The sequence below is a fragment of the Homo sapiens genome, chromosome 3 (assembly GCF_000001405.40).
Source record: "Homo sapiens chromosome 3, GRCh38.p14 Primary Assembly".
In the NCBI taxonomy this organism is placed as follows: Eukaryota; Metazoa; Chordata; class Mammalia; order Primates; family Hominidae; genus Homo; species Homo sapiens.
The window spans coordinates 16,639,753-16,661,052 of NC_000003.12; the positions used below are offsets into that span (position 1 = coordinate 16,639,753).

Sequence of the window (21,300 nt, forward strand, 5' to 3'; positions counted from 1 at the left end):
CTTTTATTTTTTGGAAATTAATTTATTTTTGAAAATACTTTTTGAACTGTTTTAAAGATCTATCAATAAAATAAAATAGTAACTTAAAAACATGTCACAGAGTTACCTAATTTGAATTTTTACCCCCTTTTACCCTCAAAAGCTATAAATTATGTGATCTTTCCACCTATGTCCTCACTAGCAAATCTAGACCCCAACACTGGCAACAAGCTAAAGGAAACAGGCTTTTCCCTTTTTAGAAGGCAGGAAAGAATTGTGAATCCTCATTGTTGTCTCGTCACCTATTTTTTTCTTGCAACAGTCCGTTTCCTCATAAGGTCACATAAACTGAGCACTATGTGCTCAAAAGCTGTCTGAAGTTCTTTGCATGAATCAACTCATTTAATCATTAAGGTAGCCCTATGATAGGTATTGTTATTATTCTCATTTGCAGATAAGGAAACAGAGGCTTTGTTCAAGTTAGCTTGCCCAAAAGTACATAGTTTATAAAGGTCAAATCTGAGATTAGGATCATGAATCTCTGTCATTAACTACCCTCCATATTTCCCTTTTAAAAAATTCTGCTTCATCTGCCAAATTTCCAGATTTCTTGGAACAATTATAATCATTCAAGGATCCTCTCTCAGCATCTTTATTATTCTAAGTGCCCACACTTCTTACTGGTGCCAGAAAATTATCACTACCACCCCACCAATTGAACTCTGAATGGAGGGACTTGCTGTAGTACTTGTACCTATGGACAATAGCTCTCGAGAAAACATCTTAGGTTCATGTAGAGCTGTATCGCCAACTGAGCCTTCATTGCAAACATTTTTCAGTGTCTTGTTGAAGTTGACTAGAACTCCTTTTTTTTTTTTTCTTTTGAGACAGAATCTCGCTCTGTCGCCCAGGCTGGAGTGCAGTTGCATGATCTTGGCTCACTGCAAGCTCCGCCTTCCAGGTTCACACCATTCTCCTGCCTCAGCCTCCGGAGTAGCTGGGACTACAGGCACCTGCCACCATGCCCGGCTAATTTTGTTTTTGTATTTTTAGTAGAGATGGGGTTTCACCGTGTTAGCCAGGATGGTCTCGATCTCCTGATCTTGTGATCCGCCCGCCTTGGCCTCCCAAAGTGCTGGGATTACAGGTGTTAGCCACCGCGCCTGGCCCAGAACTCCTTTTAAGAGCAGAGTGGAAATACTGCTGATTTGGAGTCAGAAGACCTAATTTTCAAATTGTGGCTTTCAGTTCCTCACTAACAAGATGAGCACACTGTTTTGTATACTTAGTACAACTGTTTTAGCCATCAAATTAAAGTGCTTAAAAGTATATTATAAACTGTGCTATCGAATATTAATTATTGTTCTACAAGTAATCATGGAACAACACTTTACATTTGTACTATTCTTTGCAGTACTGTATTATTTCATTGAATCTCTCAGTAACCCTATGGCTTAGGTATCATTATCCCCATTTTACAAACAGGGAACTGAAGCACAGAGAAGATTAATGCTTTCCTGTATCAGTGAGCTTAGACTGCCATAACAAAATACCATAGACTGGGTGGTTTAAACAACAGAAATTTATTTTTTCAGAGTTCTGAAGGCTGGAAGTCTGAGATCAGGATGCCAGCATGGTAGGGTTCTGGTGAAGGCTGTCTTCCAGGTTGCAGATGGCTGCTTTCCTGCTGTGTTCTTATATGTCAGAGAGTGAGAGACAGAGAGAGACAGAGAGAGAGAGAGAGAGAGAGAGAGAGAGAGACAGAGAGAGAAAGTTCACAAGTTCTCTGATGTCTCTTCTTGCAAGTATACTAATCCTATCATGAGGGTCTCGTCCTCATGACCTTGTCTGAATCTGAATATCTCTCAAAGGCCCACCTTCAAATACCATTATATTAGGGGTTGAGGCTTCAACATGAGAATTTTGGGAGGTCATAATTCTGTCCATAGCACTCCTCCTTTGATATGGTTTGGCTGTGTCCCCACCCAAATCTCATCTTGAATTGTAATCTCCATAATCCTATGTGTCTAGGGAAAGGCCAGGTGGGATGTGATTGGTTCATGGGGACAGTTTCCCCCATGCTGTTCTTGTGATGGTGACTGAGTTCTCGCGAGATCTGATCATTTTATAAGGGGCCCTTGCCCCTTCACTTCTCCCTCTTCTCTCTCTTGCCTGCCGCTGTGTAACACTGCCTCTTCCCTGTCTCCCTAAGTTTCCAGAGGCCTCCCTAGCCATGCAGAGCTGTGAGTCAATTAAACCTCTTTTCTTTATAAATTACCCAGTCTCAGGTATGTCTTTATAGCAGTGTGAAAATGGACTAATACATCCTTTTTTCTCTTCAAGGTCATGAAGCTCTTAAGCAGCAAAGCCAAATATTAAATTAAAGTTTTCCAACTCCAAATCTTGAACTCTTTCCCTAAAACCAGAGGCACCTCACATTATTTTGAAACTGACTTAATAGTCAAGGCTTTCCCGTTATATCTGGTACTTCTTATGACAGACACCATCTTAATAGAGATTGCAGTGTTTTTCTATCCACTTCTCTAGCTCTTGTGGAAATCAGATTTGAGAACATTCCTCCTTGGTAGTAGTTTCTTTATAAAAGGCACTAGCTAACAGGTTCTGAAATGAGCCCAACTAGAAACTCAAGAGTTGCCAAAGGACCTTCTGGTTTCAAGATGCACAATAATTTCAGAAATTATTAATATTATAGAAAAGTAAAGTTTATAGAAATGGAAGTTTTGATCCTTTAACCTATGTAATATAATATGTTTTTTTTAAAAAACCTCCTTAAGATAATATGTTTTTTTCTTGGTGACCAATGAAGTTCAGAACAGTTTTATTTTTTTTATTTATAAAAAGCAGGGAAGGGAGCCAGGCACATTACCTGAGGTCAGGAGTTTGAGACAGCCTGACCAACATGAAGAAACCCTGTCTCTACTAAAAATACAAAAAAAAATTAGCCGGGCATGGTGGTGCACGCCTGTGTAATCCCAGTTACTTGGGAAGCTGAAGCAGGAGAATTGCTTGAACCTGGGAGGCGGAGGTTGCCGTGAGACGAGATCATGCCATTGCACTCGAGCCTGGGCAACAAGAGGGATGCTCCATCTCAAAACAAAAACAACAAAAACAAAAAATAAAAATGAAAAGCAGGGAAGCGATGATTTTTGTTTTCCTGGGAACTTTCATCTCTATAAGCTTCCCTTCCTCCAGTTGAACACAGTGATCTGTTGTGATTAGATTAAAAACAAGGGTTGTCTGCCGCTCTTTTTTTCCTCCTATCGATTCTTGTTGCTTCAAATTTTAGAATTTACTATTTTGCTGCTTAATTAGTATGTTTTGAACGTGAAAAATCATCTTGAAGGGTCTATTACACTTGAAGTATTTGCTCTTAACATTTTTATTTCTGCCTTACTTCATTTCTACCAAGAGAAAAGACCAGTTTGTTTTTTACTCTAACAAAGCATTCTAGCAGGTCATTGCTGGAATATCCCAGGGAAGGTCTTTGAAGTTGTTGATGTAAGCAAACTAGAATATTTCTCAGAAGTCTGAACAATATAACTTCTAAAACAAAGATTTTTTGTGTGGACCAAATTCATCTGAGGTGAATTATTATTTCCAATTTAGCTTGGGGTTCTTCCACATTAAAAGCCTGTGCTCATTTAACCAGTATTAATTGAGTATCTACTATGTGCCAAGCCATTTGCCAGGAGGCAAAGATATAAAACTGAATAAAAGTGGATCTGATAATAGTTGGATGGAGGTGAAAGACAGTGTAAAAAAATCAATAAATGGTATAATAGAGCACACTCAAGGTTTTACAGAAGGTCTGAAGAGAGGGACCATTATTCCAACGTCTTGAGGTTACTGAAGTACAGCCTAAGAAATGCTTTAAGCAACTTGTTATGGTTAATTTTATGTGTCAGTTTGATTGGGCCTCAGGGTGCCCAGATATTTGATGAAACATTATTCTGGTTTGTCTATAAGGAAATTTCTGGGCGAGATTAACATTTGAATAGAAAGACTGAAAGCTTCCTATATTCCTATAAAGCAGATTGCCCTCCCTAATGTGGGTGTGTCTCATCCAGTAGAACAAAAAGGCTGAGTAAGAAATAATTTCTTCTGCCTGACTGCCTTCAAGCTGGGACATTGGTCTTTTCCTGCCTTCAACTCAAATGGAAACATTGGCTCCTTTTGGGTCTTGAGCCTGATGACTTTCAGAATAAAACTTCAACTATTGCCTCTGCTGGTTCTCAGGACTTCAAACTTGGAAAGGATTTATACCATCGGCTCTTTGGGTTTCCAGCTTGCTGATCACAGATCTTGGGACTTGTTAGCCTTCATAATCATGTGAGCCAATTTCTTATAATACACCTCTCTCTCTTTCTCTTTGTCTCTCTCCAAACACACACACACACACACACACACACACACACACACACACACACACACGCACACACACCTTATATTGCTTCTGTTTCTCTGGAGAACCCTAATACGTAACTCCTCCATGCATATCCTGTGAGTACCTTTATAAAGTGTCAACTTGGCAAGGCTAAACTACATTTTCCACAGATTTCTTCCCTGTATGTTTAAGGTGGGCCGCAAGAGATATTTGGCCTAGGATTTGGAAGCAGTGGCAATATTGCTTTTATGTGCAGGGGGCAGAGTCAGGGGTTGCAGGGGTGGTTGTTGTAGAGGCACCAGGTGCTGGTTGCAGCTCACACATCTTGTCACTATCTGTTGGCTCACCTTATTGGTGTGGAACCGCAGCTGGGCTGGCAGCTTTTCCACCTGCCCCTGGATCTTTCTTCAGCTTTTCTGGCTCTAGTGAAGTGCACGGTTAGCTTTTTGACAAAAGGCACCCATGTCTGCTGCCGAACACCTGCATTGTTAAAGCTGGAAGCATTAGGAAGCATTGGTTCTAGTTCATCTTCTTGGGCGCCAGCTTACACTCGCAGTTTCCAGTTTTTTCCTTACTTTATGTGAGGGTTTCTCAGCCTCAGCATTATTGACATTTGGGTTGGATAATTCTTTACTGTGGGGGACTGGCCTATTCATTGTAGGATATTTAGTGGCCTCCCTGGCTTGTACTCACTACATGTCATAGCCTACACCCAAGTTGTGACAAGCCAGAATGTCTCCAAACAGTACCACATGTCTCCTGGGGGTCAAAATAGGCTCTAGTTAAGAACCTCTGCTTTATAGCCATATTCCTTTCCCAACTACTTGCTGAAAACTTCAGGCTCTAACATTAGACACAGGGCCTTACAGAGACTTTATAACCAAATCCCGTAATTGTGAAAGATCAAATCCCTGAACAAATCCTTTATTATATATCTCTCTCCTAGTGGTTCTGCTTCTCTGATTAAATCCAGACTGATATCTTCCTTAGAGTTGGCTGAATCTTCCTGAGTCTCCTGGACAGCTTTATTCATTTTCATGATCCCTTTGTATCAACAATCTCCAGCACCATCCCTACTATAGCCAGCCCCCCATCCTCAATACCCTAGTGAGGTAACTCTGCCTTTAGAAGAGGGACAATCAGATCCATAAAAAGCATGCTTGGAACAAAATCTGAGTGTAACCCTGCCATGTGGAAATGTAGATCATGTCCTGCCAGTGCTTCCAGGAGCTGTTAGAGCTGAGGGCAGTGCTGTAGAGACTCAGTGGGACTTAGAATCACGGGGGATTTTATTGCTAAGGATCTAAGCCTTAAAGGAACAGTTATAGGCTTTGTTTTCAAAAACTTCCAGCATATTTTTATTCTATTTTATCAAAGTGATTTCTATAGGAATACATTATAAACCAATGAAAATCATTTGCTCTTCGACTACTCTCTAGTCCCAGAGAACCTAAAAGAATATTATGTTTTATTTAGCCAAGTAGAAATCTATCACAAGCTTGGATAATAGACTTTATTTTCTGGTAAACAGATAATAAAGTCCTTTTGAAAAATTAGCAAAAGTAAGATAGAGGTATAATAAAATCAGATCTATTCATTTTTAAATACATACTATGAGCTGGGCACTGTGCCTGGTGTGGGGTATCTGGTGACCAACCAGACAGACAAGATTTTTGACCTCATGGAACTTACAGTGGAGTAGGAGAAACATTCATTACACAAATAATCACATAATGAGAATATGAAGTTATACATTAAGTTCTATGAAGGAACAGTATAGAGTCTTTACAGAGAGAGATCAAATATAGATGGCAGGGGTAAGTGAGGAGGGGCGTTCCTAAAGAAGTGACGTGGGCTCTGAAACCTAGAAGATGAGTTGGAGCTAGTGAGTGAGAAGTAGATGGAAAAGAGTTCTAAGCAGGGACAGCAAAGAACTTGGTGCCTTCAGAAAGCTATAAGAACGCTGCAATGGCTGGGTCTAGTAAACAGGGAGAAGAGAGCGGGGAGATGACTCTGCAGAGAGGAGAAGCAGTTAGATTGCTCCAGGACTTGCAGGCCAAGCTTGGGTTTTACTGTTAGGAACGAGCCATCGAAAGGCTTAAAGTCAATGTTTCTTTGAGAAAATGATGTTAACAAGGGAGCAAATCATATGGCTGTACCTGAGGAGGGAGCAGTCCGGGGAGGACTATCTCTATCCACTATCTTATGGCTATAGTGATGAGGGAGTAGTCCAGGGAGAGGGAATAGCAAATTCATAGCTCTGAGTGGCATGCCTAGTGAGTTCAGAAAACTCCGCAGAGGCCAGTGTGGCTGGAGTGGAGCAAGCAAGGGGAGAGCATGGAAATAAGCAGGGCCAGAACCTCCAGGGTCTGGTGTGCCATTTAAGGACTCTGGCTTTTATTCAGAGAAAAATGGGGAACCATTGAGTACGCAAGGGACATGATTTGACTTACATTTTACAAGGATCACTCTGGCTGCTGTATTGTAAAAGACCGTGGGGATGGGGCCAAGAGGGGAAGAGGGAAGACTGGCTGGAAGGTTATTATAATAACTGAGGCCAGATAATGGTGGCTTGGAGCAGGATGATAGCCATAGAGCTGGTGAGAAGCAGGCAGAGTCTGGGTGTTCTTTGAAAGTAAAGTTATGGATTTGCAGTAGATTGAATATGGGTATAAGAGAGAGAGGGGAGTCAAGGATGAGGTAAGGTTTTGGGCCTAAGAAAATAGACTTGCCATAGACTGAAGTGTAGAAGACTGCAGGGATATCAAGTTTTCAGATCATCAGCCAGTTTCAGACACATTAATTTTTAGGTGTCTATCAAGTTCCCATGTCATGTAAGTAAGACAGTTAAGGAAATGACATCCCAAAATATGCCACTTTGATATGCTGATTACTTTAACAGAGGGCACTTGGAAAACAGCAAATATAGGCATAGGCTCTCTGGGCTCCCCTTATCTGCCTAAAGATGAACTCAAAAGGAACTCAATTTTTATGAATCTCCTCTCCAGGAGTCTTATTAACCCGGGAAGATTGACTTGGATCTCAGGAGAGGAGACTGGAGGTCCACACCATGCCAGACAGACTTTGTCACAAGCTATTATCTCTTCTTCTGGGGGTCATTCATCTTTCCCCAAAATCACTTACTCTCCTCTAAGTTGCCCACACTCCTGCCCTCCCCTCTATGAAGAGGGTGTATATGCTTCTAGATCTCACTGGGTTTTGGGATATTAACTTTTCTGCAATAAATTTGTATACCTTTCTCCTGTTTACTTGTCTACTATCAGTTTATTTCTTAGACTCAATTATCAAACTCTCAGAGAGTAGAGGGAAAGTTTTTCCTTCCCTAAAGTTCTGGCAGTGAAGTTGGTATCAAATACCGCTAACTGTGAGGCTGCAGCTAAGAAACCCTGGCATCTGACAAAGTTAAGACTTCTTACCATATCAGTCTCTTGGGTATCTGCCTGTAGAGTCCAGTTGAGTGAAGGTGGTGTATTAGTCAGGGGTCTCCAAAGGGACAGAACTAATAGGATATATGTATATATGAAAGGAGTTTATTAAGGAGAGTTTATTAAGGAGAGTGTGAGTTGGTCCACACAAAAAATCTTTGTCTTAGAAGTTATGTTGTTCAGGCTTCTGAGAAATATTCTAGTTTATTAAGGAGAGTTGACTCACACGATCACAAGGTGAAGTCCCATGATAGGCTGCCTGCAAGCCGAGGAGCAAAGAAGCCAGTGGTGGTTCAGTCTGAGTTCCCAAACCTCAAAAGTTGGGAAGCTAACAATGCGGCTTTCAGTCTGTGGCTGAAGGCCTAACAGCCCCTGGCAAATTACTGGTGTAAGTTTCCAAGAGTCCAAAAGCTGAAGAACTTGGAGTTCAATGTTCGAGGGCAGGAAGCATCAGCACAAGAGAAAGATGAAGGTGGGAAGACTCAGCAAGTCAGCTCCTTCCACCTTCTTCTGCCTGTTTGCTCTGATGATAGTTTCTTTCGCTGTGCAGAAGCTCTTTAGTTTAATTAAATCCCATTTGTCAATTTTTGCTTTTGTTGCCATTGCTTTTGTTTTTGGCAATTTCATCGTAAAATCTTTGCCCACGTCTGTGTCCTGAATGGTATTGCCTAGATTTTCTTCTAGGGTTTTTATAATTTCGGGTTTTACATTTAAGTCTTTAATCCATCTTGAGTTAATTTTTGTATACGGTGTAAGGAAGGGGTCCAGTTTCAATTTTTGCATATGGCTAGCCAGTTCTCACAGCACCACTTGTTAAATAGAGAATCACTTCCCCATTGCTTGTTTTTGTCAACTTTGTTGAAGATCAGATGGTTGTAGAGGTGTGATTTTATTTCTGAGTTCTCTAGTCTGTTCCATTGGTCTATGTGCCTGTCCAAAACAAATTCTAAATTATGTCTTTTGACCTTAAATTAACATTAAGATTTTCCAGTTGGGCCCCTGAAAAGCTTTGAAGGAGATATCTTTCACCCTATAAAAGAGAGAGATTAAAATAATTAGAATTATATGACATGTTAAATTATATGGGAAGCATTGCCAAATAATAAGTGATGCTAAACTTCTTTAAGTTATATTTATGGGTATGTTATTAATATAAGTATGCTAAAAATTATATGAAATTCCTAGAAATCTAATATGTTATCAGTCACAATTTTGGTTATTATGTTAAAATGTTGCATACTATAGAAATAACCAAAATTTTCTGTCAATTGTGCCATTATTAAAATGAACTCTCATTATATTCTTAACTATGGCCATTTAAAGTCTTTCGTAAGCCTTGAGGAGTTATTCTTTTACTTTGATTATTCTTTAAAAGCATTTGCAATCAGGCATAGTCCAAAATTACTTCTTCTTGAAGAAGTTTCATGGAAAGGACTCTGGCAAGTACTATCGAATACAGATTGCTGATGAATTTATTTGTATCAGGTAAGAATTTTAAAAATTCTAATGAAGAAACTGATAGCTTCATTAAGCAGAACAATAATTAATTACACGAGGCTGAATAAACTGATGAGGATGTCTTTATGATTTCAAATTTGTTGGTTTTAAAAATGTTTTGTTTTCCATATTTAAGAAAACTTTTTTTAAACTCTTAATCTATCTATAGCTTACAACAATTTGGTAAATTATACTTTCGTAAACAGCATTGAAACATTTACTTTTTTTTCCCTACCTGATCTTTCCAGAATTTGGAAAATGTTTGTGAGTATTCTTATTTTATGGTGTATAGTTATTTGCATAAGTTCAATAAGAATCTGTTCTCTTTATAACAGGATACAATTGAGATCACTGCTTATACTACCAAGGCTTTTACTAGGATGTCATATTTTTATACATGACCAGACAGTTTTAAGGAACTAAGGTTTAACTTTATAAAGTCAATAAGGCCTCCCCCACTGGAAAAATTGCCTTGGTAGCTTGCATACATGGTTGTTTTACAGGGTTCCTTGCCTTGTGATGAGTAAAGAATGTCAACTCCTGGCAGGTTCAGGAGCTTAAAAATATTTTGGGAACTTCAAGAAGAGAAAAACTAATCCAAATCTGAAGGTATTATAGGCAAAATCTTGTAGTAGGTCATTGGCTTGGCTTCCTAGCCTAGAGAAGCTTTTTAAAAGTCTAATATAAGACTTCCTTTAAGCAAAACAGATTTTAAAAGAGCCTGTATGGTCAGTCATTATTCTTGCTGCATTTATGTAAATAATCAGGCCAAGTTTGATGATACTAAACTTATTTGCAATCTTACTGTGATTGCCTTTGGTAAAAATGGGAGGTGACTATGGAGAGAAAAAATTATGTTACAGAAGGAAACTATAGTACACCTGTTATTAGATTCCAGCTTATTGTTTTTGAGGGTTTGTTATTTACATACAAACTGGACTGGATCCTGAATTCCTCTAGTTTCCTCCAATATCTGGCTTCAACTTTCCAAACTAATGTTTTCAATTTTTCTTCCATCTGTCTGACTTGGAAATTATGAAATTAAAACTGCCCTTTTCCCAAAGCTCTGCAAGCTAAAGCTAGATGTCTTGATATAAACTTCAGAGAACTCACCACGACAACTTATGTATGGACAACATTTGTGCCTATTGAAGTATGGACTACTCCTAAGGTTCACTGGAACCTCTAATGCAAACTGCAAACCGGGAAAATCTGTCAGATTGCCACTGCCTGCCTGCACTCCAACTAAAGATGCTTCAAGCCCAATATCTAGAAATAGTCACAACTGGATACCCTCCAGACTCTGAAACTAGTTTACAAAACTAGTTTACTAACTCCAGACAACAAGCTTTGTTTTTCTTTTGTTTCCATAGAAATGCATCTCATTAAATCCCTGATTGCTTGCACCATAAAGAGGCCTAATTTTGATGGGAACCCATCTGCAACACCACTTCTTGAAATGAGACACAACTCTTTGTTTTTTTTTTTTTTTTTTTTTTGAGACGGAGTCTTGCTCTGTCGCCCAGGCTGGAGTGCAGCAGTGGCGAGATCTCGGCTCACTGCAAGCTCCACCTCCCAGGTTCACTCCATTCTCCTGCCTCAGCCTCCCGAGTAGCTGGGACTACAGGCGCCCACCACCACGTCCAGCTAATTTTTTTTTTTTTTGTATTTTCAGTAGAGACGGGGTTTCACCGTGTTAGCCAGGATAGTCTCGATCTCCTGACCTTGTCATCCACCCGCCTCAGCCTCCCAAAGTGCTGGGATTACAGGCGTGAGCCACCGCGCCCGGCCAAGACACAACTCTTTAACTGGATTGACCTATTCCTATGTCTCTTACCACTCAGCTACTAACCTTGTTTTCCTCTCTATACGAACTCATGTTTTAGTGTATGAAACTTCTGGAGAAGTTTTAGACAGGGGAAATAAAGGAGTTCAGAATGTGCCAAAATATGCCACTTCGGTATGCTGATTACTTCAGGAAATTCATATACAGACAGAAGCTTTCTCTGAGCTCTCCTTATCTGCCTAAAGATGAATCCTTCAAAAGGACTCAGCCGTCATGAATCCCCTCCCCAGGAATCTTATTAACTAGGGAAGGTTGAACTGGATCATAGGAAAGAATTCTCCATGCCCAGACAAATGTTTATTCTTCTGAGGACCCATTCACCTTACCTCCAAATCATTTACTCTCCCTGCATCCCCACCCACCCTCATGTCTTCTATGAAGAGGGCATATAAGCTTCTAGATCTCACTGGGTTTGGGGGTATTCATTTTTCCTTCATATTATGTCTCCATGTGCATAAGAAATTTGTATACGTTTTCTCCTGTAAATTTGTCTACTGTTATTTTATTTTATAGACTCAATTATTGAACCCTCAGAGGGTAAAGGGAAAGTTTTTCCTCCATTACGTAAGCAACTGGATACAAGTATGGGGTTAGGGGAACTGTTAGGTTGGCATAAAGACATGTGAGTATCATCAACATGTAGATGTATGTAAAGCCACAAAAATGGATGATCTCACAAAGAGTGTATAGATAGAGATGACATGAGGACTGAGGATCAATCTGGTTCTTCAGTCCAGGAGGAACCATCAAAGGGAGACTGAGAAGTAGCCAGTGAGGTAGGAAGAGAGGCAAGAGGGTGTTGAGAATCAAGTGAAGAAAATATTTGAAGGATGATGGAGCAATCAATGTGCAAAGTAAGACTGGGACTAAAAATTGACTATTGGATTTACCCACATAGCAGTTATTAGTGACTTAATAAGAGCAGTCTGGGTTGCATGGTGGGATCAGAAGCCTGACTTCAAAAGATTAAGAGAGAATTGAAAGACAGAAGTAGAAGACAGCAAATATAGGTAACTCCTTTGAGGAGTTTTTCACTCTAAAGGCTAGGAGAATAATGAAATGTTAGCTGGAAAGATCAATGGAGTCAACAGAAGGATTTGCTTGTTTGCTTTTAGGAAAAGGGAAATAATGCATGTTTTAGTGCTAATGGGAATTATCCAGTAGAGGGTCTGGAATTTAGACAGAGAGGAGGGACTGGCCTTGGACAGAGACAGGTCATAGGGTATCAGAAGAAAAGGCAGTATACATGGGAACACACGCTTACGAGTAGATAAATGTGATAGAGATAATTTGTAGAAGATTCTCTTCAGATTGCTTCTATTTTCTCAGTGAAATTGGTCATTGGCTGCAAGTGTGGATGGATAGGTGGTGCTGGAAGTTTGAGGATACAGAAAGTATGAAACTGTCATGTAAGAGAATGGGAGAATGAATGAACTAGGGAAATGCTATACATCAGGTAGGCAGCATTGCAGTCCTATGTGATGGTGGATTTGCTCTGGTAATATTTCTAGCTGCATGGATGCAGGTTTGGAGTAAGCAGAGAGTCAGCTGTTTTGCCAAGTAAAAACAATGAAGCAGGAGTGGGGGGACAAAGGAGTTAAGGGTTTATGGAAGACAAGATTATAATAATTGACCATGGAATTCAGGCTAGGTAAGGAGGGAAATGAAGATATGAAGAAAGGCAATGGAGAGTTCAAGTTGCGGGAACAATGAATTTTAAGTCCTGAGAATTTTAAGAAGTATTACTGGAGTTGGAACATGTAGGGCGAATAATTGCCCCTCAAAGATGTCCATGCACTAGTCCTCAGAATCTTTAAATATGTTTGCTAGGTTATGCAGCAAAGGGGAATTAAGATTGCAGATGAAATTAAGAGACCTTAAGAAAGGAAGTTCATCAGAGTGGACTCAACATAATCACAGGGTCCTTAAAAATGGAATGGTAGAAGACAGTTGGAGGCAGATGTGACTACAGAAGAAGGTCAGAGTGACACGATGAAGGACCCAACGTTCCATTGCTGGCTTTGAAGCTGGAGGAAAGGAGCTATGAATCGAGGAACACAGGTGGCCTTTCCAGGCTGGAAAAGACAAGGAAAAGGATGCTACCCAGATCCTACAGAAAAAAACACGGCCCTGCCAACATCTTGGTTTTAGCTCTGTGAGTCCCATGTCAGACTTCTGATCTACAGACTGTAAGAAAAATTTGTGTCGTTTAAGCCATTAAGTTTGTAGTGATTTGCTATGACAGCAAGAAAACACTGCAGGTTGAGGATCCCTTTTCTGAAATGCTTGAGATCAGAAGTGTTTTGGATTTGGGCTTATTTTGGATTTTGGACTATTAACATATACATAATAAGATATCTTGGGAATGGGATTCAAGTCTAAACACAAAAATTCACTATAGTTTTATATTCACCTTATAAACATAGCCAGAAGGTAATTTTATACAACATTTTAAATAATTTTGTACATGAAATAAAGTTTTGACTGTGACCCATCACATGAGGTCACGTGTGAAATTTTCCACTTGTGGCATCATGTTGATGCTCAAAAGTTTTGGATTTTGTAGCATTTTCGGAGTTTGGTTTTCAGATTAGGAATGCTCACTCAGTAATATAAAATATTAGAGGAAATAAGCTGGATATTCAGATACCAAACCTCAAGGCTCTACAGGGTTTGGTATTAGTTTTGGTGGTAACAAGGTCAAGGATATGGCCATAGGTATAAGTCTGAAGGAAGGTGGTTAGCTACATTGTTGGAAGATTGTGCCTCATAGAACTACACGGTTTAGAACTAAAATTTTATCATGATTTCTATATATTGGTCAAAATTAAGTGGTGAGTTATGAACATATTGGTTTTTTTGTTTGTTTCTGCACTGGCGGGCATACCCAGCAGCAATGCTGTCCCTCGCCTTCCTGCAGCTGATCTTTATTAATGTTTACTGTTCACTGGTATAAACTGTGCAACTCCGAATTGGATTAGGGGGAGATCTGGTCTCGATTAAAGCTGTGATAAATGAGCACTGTTTACATTTCCTCACACCCTCCCTTCTCCACACACACACACACATCAAATTATTCTGAAAATGAAATGCAAAATAAAATGAGGAAGGGTTCTGTTCTTCATTAATGTGTAATTATAAAGTGCTGGGGCTCCCCTGCTGGGTGGAAAAGTAAAACCCATAGGAGGGGTGAGAATGCTTAAGGGGGGACATTCTTCATTGCTATTAACTATGGGTGAATTATTGTTTTCACATTTTTACAAAGAGATGAATGAAAATGAGGACTTGGATAAGATCTGTACCCCCTCATGGAATCATAATGGGGAGAGAAAAGCAAGTGGGCAGAACTGTTCACATTGCAAAACCAGAGCCCAGTGGTCTACTCTCTTTTGATTTCCTTGCTCTTACTTTTCAAAAAGTAAGCTAAATTTAATAAGTGCCTTGTAAGTCAGCTTTAATTCCTGATTTTAAATCACCTAGTCTTTTGTGAAAATGCAGTAGAGGTGTTAGAGATGCTCTCTATTTACTTTGATTTATTTTAAAGATAGATTCTCAGCCCTGGGAGAGGAGGGAGAGAGGGGGCTCAGCACAATGCTTAGACGCTGGGATCGCATAAACTGTTAGCATCTCAGGTCAGCTGTGTGGGGAAATCATGCTCTCAGAAGCTCAGTTTCTTCATCTGTATAATGCAGGTGATAATGGTTCAATGGGTTTCACAGTTATTGGGATAATTTGATGAGATTATTGATAAAAATGCTTGCATGGTGCCTGGCACAGTGCTCACGGAGGGATGTTATTATCATCTCTATTCTTGGAAGTGAAGGAAGAAAGAAGAGGAAATCTGTGTCCTTCATTCCAGTTTCCCTTCTCCCAACACTAGCCACCTTGGGCTTAATTTAAAACTTTGTATTTGATCTAAAATTTGATTCTCAGTATTTTCTTTCTATACTACTTTCCCAACTCCTAAATAAGAGAGAATATCAACTGGTTTTTTGTTAATCCATATAACGATGAATGGGATATTTGTAGGGACACGTTGGTAAAAAGACATGTTTTTCTTCAAAGAGCTTATAAATGTTATGTAAGGATGGAGCTGTAATTTGTAATATGCCAGCCACCAGCCACATGTACCTATTTAAATGTAAACGAATTAAAATTAAATAAAATTAAAAATTCAACTTCTCAGTTGTGCTAGGCACATTTTGAGTGCTCAATAACCACATGTGGCTGGTGGCTATGATACTGGACAGTAAAGATAAAGCACATGTTCATCACCATTCTGTTGTGTTCATGATAACTGGACTAAATTGGAGTTGGAGAAACACAGAATAGAAAATAAAAGTGGGGGGCACAGTGTTGAAAGACCAAATGGGAAGGTAAAGAAGAGGAATTTTATCAATTTCATAAATTTGTATAGAACTAGTCCTGCATTTTGCCACAATGAAGCCACAAATACTGTATAAAATTGCCCATAACTTATCTGTGGATTGTGTGGGAAGGAATGCTCAATAAATATTTTTAAGCTGTTGAAAATTTTGCTTCATTTTGTAAACTTGTACATTTCATTTTGCAGAATGAAATTTCATTCATTCATTATATTTATTGACTGTCTCCCATGTACCATGTGCCAAGTGAGGGAGTGAAATATCTGAAGGAAGAGTGTTCCAGGGCTATGGGAAAGAAGTAGATCAAGATAGGAAGGACCAAGAATGTGGAGTGAGAAATGGACTGGAGAGAGAGGGTAGGATTAAATAAATTGATCAGAGAAGGCAGTCTTAGCAAAGGGGCTTTGAGCAGGTTTTGAAGGAGGGGAGGGAGGGAGTGATGTGGTTACCCAGAGGAAGAGTGTCCACAAGGGCACAGGACCTTAAGCAAGGGTGTGCCTGGCATAGCCAAGGAACAGCAAAGAGCCAATGTGGCTGAGCAGAGTGAGTGAGGGGATGAGTGTGGAAATGAGATCTGGGAGGTAACAGGGGAAGAGGGGCAGATTATATTTAGTTTTATAGGGCTTTGATTTTTAGTCAGCGTGAAATAGGGAGTTATCAGAGGTTTTTAAAGTAAGACAGGCTGATCTAAATTATGGCTTTAAAAAGAGTCTTCTGGATCCTGAGTGGGCAGGGGATATCTTGGACCAGGCTGGTAGCGTGTTTAGGGGAAAATAAATACCTTTTTCTCACCTATCACTACATTCATGGCTAAGGTCCCTATAACAAAAGGCAGATTAACAAGAGAAAAGCACACACATTTATTTAATTGAAGTTCTACCTGACACAGGAGCTTGTATAAGGAAATTAAGATCCCAAGAAACAGGTAAACTTGTATATTTTTGTGCTTAGATTTGATGAAGAGTGGGCAGTTGCTGAGAAATGTGATTGGAGGACAAGAGTACGCTCTAATGATAATAAACTGCGGGGATTTTAGCAAGGCCTGTTTGTTTAGATTTGTCTCTGTATCCTTGTGTCTTCAGAGACACTATGGTTGAATGTTTGTGTCTCCTCCAAATTCATGTTGAAATTTAATCCCAAATGCTACCGTGTGAAGAGGTGGGGCCTATGGGTGCAATGGCTCATGCCTGTAATCCCAGCACTTTGGGAGACTGAGGGAGGAGGATTGCTTGAGCCCAGGAGTTTGCGACCAGCCCTGGCAACACAGTGAGACCTTGTCTCTATAAAAAAAAATACAAAAAATTACCCAGGCATGGTGGTGTATGCCTGTAGTCCCAGCTATTTGAGAGGCTGAGATGGGAAGATGGCTTGAGCCTGGAAAGTTGAGCATTTTGTTTATAACCATTTAACCACTCTCTAAAAAGTTCCAAACTTTCCCTCACCCTCTGTCTTCTTCTGAGACCTCCAAACTCTTCCAAGCTCTGACCATTAACCAGTTCCAAAGCCACTTCCACATTTTCCAGCATCTTTATAGCAATACCCCACTCTCAGTATCAATTTTCTGTGTTAGGCCATTCTTGCATTGCTATAAAGAAATACCTGAGACTGGTTAATTTATAAAGAAAAGAGGTTTAATTGGTCATGGTTCTGCAGGCTGTACAGGAAGCATGGTGCTGGGATCTGCTCAGCTTGTAGGGAGGCCTCAGGAATCTTACAATCATGGCAGAAGGTGAAAAGGGAACAGGCATGTCACATGGTGAAAGCAGGAGCAAGTGAGAGAAAGAGCTGGGAGGGGAAGTGCCATATGCTTTGAAATGACCAGATCTTGTGAGAACTCACTCACTATCACAAAGACAGTGCCAAGCCACGAGGGATCTGCCCCATGACCCAAATACCTCTCACCAGGCCTTACCTTCAACATTGGAGATTACAATTCAACCTGAGATTTGGAGGGGACACACATCTAAACCATATCAGCCAGAAAACAAATTGACATTAGACAATGTGGCAGAAGGGTTCCAAATATTAAAGGCTGCTTTCTACTTCTTTTATGACATAACCCCTTCTATGGTATGGGCACTGAAACTAAAGCAAACAGTAAAAGGATTGGTACTGTATAGAAATATTTTTAGAGAAATTAAAAAGCAAAAAAGTCAAACAGAAATTACAATATGCTTCCATGAAGCCATACCAAGTGTGCCTGCCTCTCCCGCCTCCCCTTCCACCACCTCCATCTTTTCATTTCTGCCACCACTGAGACAGCAAGACCAACCCCTCCTCTTCCTTCTCTCCTTAGCCTACTCAATGTGAAGATGACCAGAATAAATATTGTTGACTTCCACTTAATGAATAGTATTTAAATATATTTTTCTTATGATTTTTTAGCTAACATTTTTATTTTCTCTCATTTACTTCATTATTAATATAAGGATACAGTACATGATACATATAACATTAAAAATGTGTTCATTACTGTGTATGTTACCAATAAGGCTTCCGGTCCACAGTAGGCTCTTAGTAAGGTTTTGGGGGAGAACAATGTGATAAACAAATTTTCAAGTGTGTGGGAGTTTGGCTCGCCTAATCCCTGTTAGGAGTTCAAGGGTCCATTGGAAAATGCTAAAGTATTGTCTCTTCAGCTTTAAATTTTTGAAAACAAATGGCTTTTCTTAGGTAGAAAGTTGTTTGTCACATTTCTCCCCAGTGTCTTTTGAATTGTTAAGGAGAGGATCCAGAAATCGTTACTGGCACACGCTGTATCCTCCAGGGGGCTTCCCTGCTACAGCAGGCAGCTCTGAAACCTGTCCTAATAAAGAAGCTACACTACAAGGCTTTTGATTGGTGGTTTTTCCCCCAGCTACCGATTGAATGAAGGCAGTAATTATGTCCGCATTGTCTGACTAAATGCTGCTGGTGTATGCCATTAGAACTGGTTTCAGGCAACTTTTAGAGAGCAGTCTGCTGTCCTCTGGGAATAGATCATGAAGGTTGGGGCTGAGCCCCACAGCTCTCCCATGTGACTTGACACCTCCACTTGCAAGATAAGAGAAAAGAATGGTTCTGAGAACCCTTGGAAAGTGGGAGGACCCCTGCTGTTCTCTAAAAGGCATTCTAAGAAAAGACTTCACAGAAAATCAATTGTTATCACTTAAGACCTTTCCTTTAACTCACTATATTCCATTGTACACTTAATTTTTTTCTTCCAGTGGGACAAAGCAATGTGTAAAAAATTGTACAATGTTCCTGTGGTGTCTTTGAAAGCAAGTTTATAAATTCTTAATATGCATTACTATAAGTCAAGAGTCTCAAAGAGAATAGGGTGTCAATAAAAATTATCCACAGGGCAGATGATGGTTTTTGAAGCAGGGAGAAAGGATAATGTTGGGACTGAATGATATGCGTTCAGGAAAGATGACATGAATTTGAAGAAAGGAAAGTGTTGAGGTGAGACACAAAGCTTCCCACCCCCACCCTGTGAAGTTCTTGAATGAGGCTTCCTGGACATTTCATGCTTTCGCTTCCCTGTAGCTCGAGGCTTCCATTCTCCAGAGGAATTAAGGGAAGATTTCTGCTGAGGACTAGGTCCTGTTGATCCACGAATTTCCTCCTTTTGCTCTGTCTGCCCCCAATACTCCTTATTTTTTAAGTCAAATATTTTACATATACAGCCACTTTAACTCCAACTGCTGTGTGGTTAACAGCATAGATTCTGGAAGCAAACAAAGCCTGCGGTCTAACCCTAGGCCTGATACTTCCTAGCTCTGTGAACTTGGGCAGATTGCATAATCTCTCTGAGCCCTCTTTTCTCCCCTATAGATGGGAGCACCAGCCATCTCTGTCTTATGGGATGGCTGTGGTAGTGAATGTGGCAGTGCATATATGTTAGGCTGGGGGTCTGGCACATGAGAAGTGCTCAGAAATGTTAGCTACTATTATTATAGGGTAAAAAGGTGTTATACCTCCACTCACTGATCATAGGGGTTATGGCAGACACTCCCATAACAAAAGACAGGTTAACAAGAGAAAAGCATAACAGATTTATTTAGTCAAAGTTTTATGTGACATAAGAGACTTCAGAAATGAAGACTCAAAGACCAAGGAAAACTGTCTGTTTTTATGGTTAGATTTGATGACGAATGGACAGCCATATAGAAATGTGATTGGACAAAAGTGTAAACCAAAACAAAACCATACTAAGCTGCCCAACTAACTGAATAGACCCTCCTTTTGGCCAAGGACATTCCAAAGTAAACCTGAAAAACTAGTTCAGGCCATGGTAGGAAAGGGGGCATGGACATGCCTCATTATACCTTCCTCCCTCCTCTAATTCCTTTGGAATTCAGGCACAACTAACCAGCATTCACATTTAAAACAGAGATCTTAAGACTGACAAAACAGACTCTTTGTAGAAATAAGAGACCAGATTCCAAACTGATTCTAGCACAGCATCACATGACAAAAAGCAGAGACGGAAAGAAATCAAAGTATTTTACCCCAAAATATATTCCTTTGACATATTTTAAAAAATGACCCTGCAAAGCTGTCTCTTATGGGGAAAAACTACATTCTGCAGAGAATCCCCCCTTTTCCAGGTCTTTTCTTGATCCAGGAGAGATTTAACTAAGAGTGCAGCACCTGTTAAGTCCTGATAAGAGACATTTATCATCTATTCTACATAGTCAGAACGTTGGTCTCCACAACCCCTTATTTTAACCCATGTAAGGATGTTCCTTTCCTCTGGGTATAGAAAGGGTACCTCTTAAGGGTCTTATGACCTGCTTCAGAGGAGAAGAGCAGGGGAAAAGTGAGAGTGCCCTTCCTGCTTTTGCTGTTTTTATCAAAGGCCAAGGTGCCATGTTTCAGAGTAGCATATCCCGAACCCCATCAAAGCCAAGTACCTTGTATAGATTGTCTAGTGCCTTATTCTAAAATAAGACACATTAAGTGATGTGATCTTCTAATATCTGCGAACTACAGAATGCTTATTTTACATATAGTTTGCCCAAAAATTATGCCTAATTTATAATAATAATGTTAGGGTTCAGAAAACAATACTTAAAAAACAGTAAGGAATTTTGGCATACTGAATATTTTGAACTAAAGGAGCTTTCAAGGCCTCAGAACCAAGATTTCTCTGACCTTCTCTTGCCCTCCTGTGTCGTGCCCCTTTTTCTTCCCAAAGTAAGTCATAGAAAGCAGAATTCCTCTTCCACAATGCAGGTCATAGAAACAAGAATCCCTCTCCCCGCAAGCAAGCCATAAAACCTCTCTTCTTTCTTCTCCCTTGAAGACCCTCATTCTAGGGGGTCTTGCCCAATACCCAGGAGGAAGAAATGCTACACCAAGAGATCAAGAAGAGTCTAAACAGAGAGTCCTTGCTGAGTTTTCACCCTCGGTTTATTATTATTAGATCATACCTTTTTATCAATGAAAAAGAGTCAAACTCTATAAAATATTTATTCTAAGTATGAGAACCATGACATGTGACACAGTCCCAGGAGGTCCTGAGAACATGTGCCCAAGGTGGTTGGGTTACAGCTTGGTTTTATATGTTTTAGGGATACATAAGACATCAATCATTACATGTAAGGTATGCACTAGTTCTGTCTGGAAAGGCAGGGCAACTGGAAGCAGGGGCTTACAGTTCATAGGTGAATTCAAAGATTTTCTGATTGGCAATTGGTTGAAAGAGTTAAATTATTATCTAATGACCTGGAATCAATAGAAAGGAGTGTCTGGATT

General features: G+C 39.9%; 2 annotated features.

Moving 5' to 3' along the window:
* Nucleotides 18,185-18,990: an enhancer, noted in NCBI's record as "OCT4-NANOG hESC enhancer chr3:16699444-16700249 (GRCh37/hg19 assembly coordinates)". NCBI's record gives its function as "activates a minimal SCP1, AML or CMV promoter by ChIP-STARR-seq in naive H9 embryonic stem cells {active_cell/tissue: H9 hESC(naive)}" and the evidence as "EXISTENCE:reporter gene assay evidence [ECO:0000049][PMID:30033119]".
* Nucleotides 19,710-20,004: a silencer, noted in NCBI's record as "tiled region #448; HepG2 Repressive non-DNase unmatched - State 23:Low". NCBI's record gives its function as "represses a minimal TATA promoter and a strong SV40 promoter by Sharpr-MPRA in HepG2 cells {active_cell/tissue: HepG2}" and the evidence as "EXISTENCE:reporter gene assay evidence [ECO:0000049][PMID:27701403]".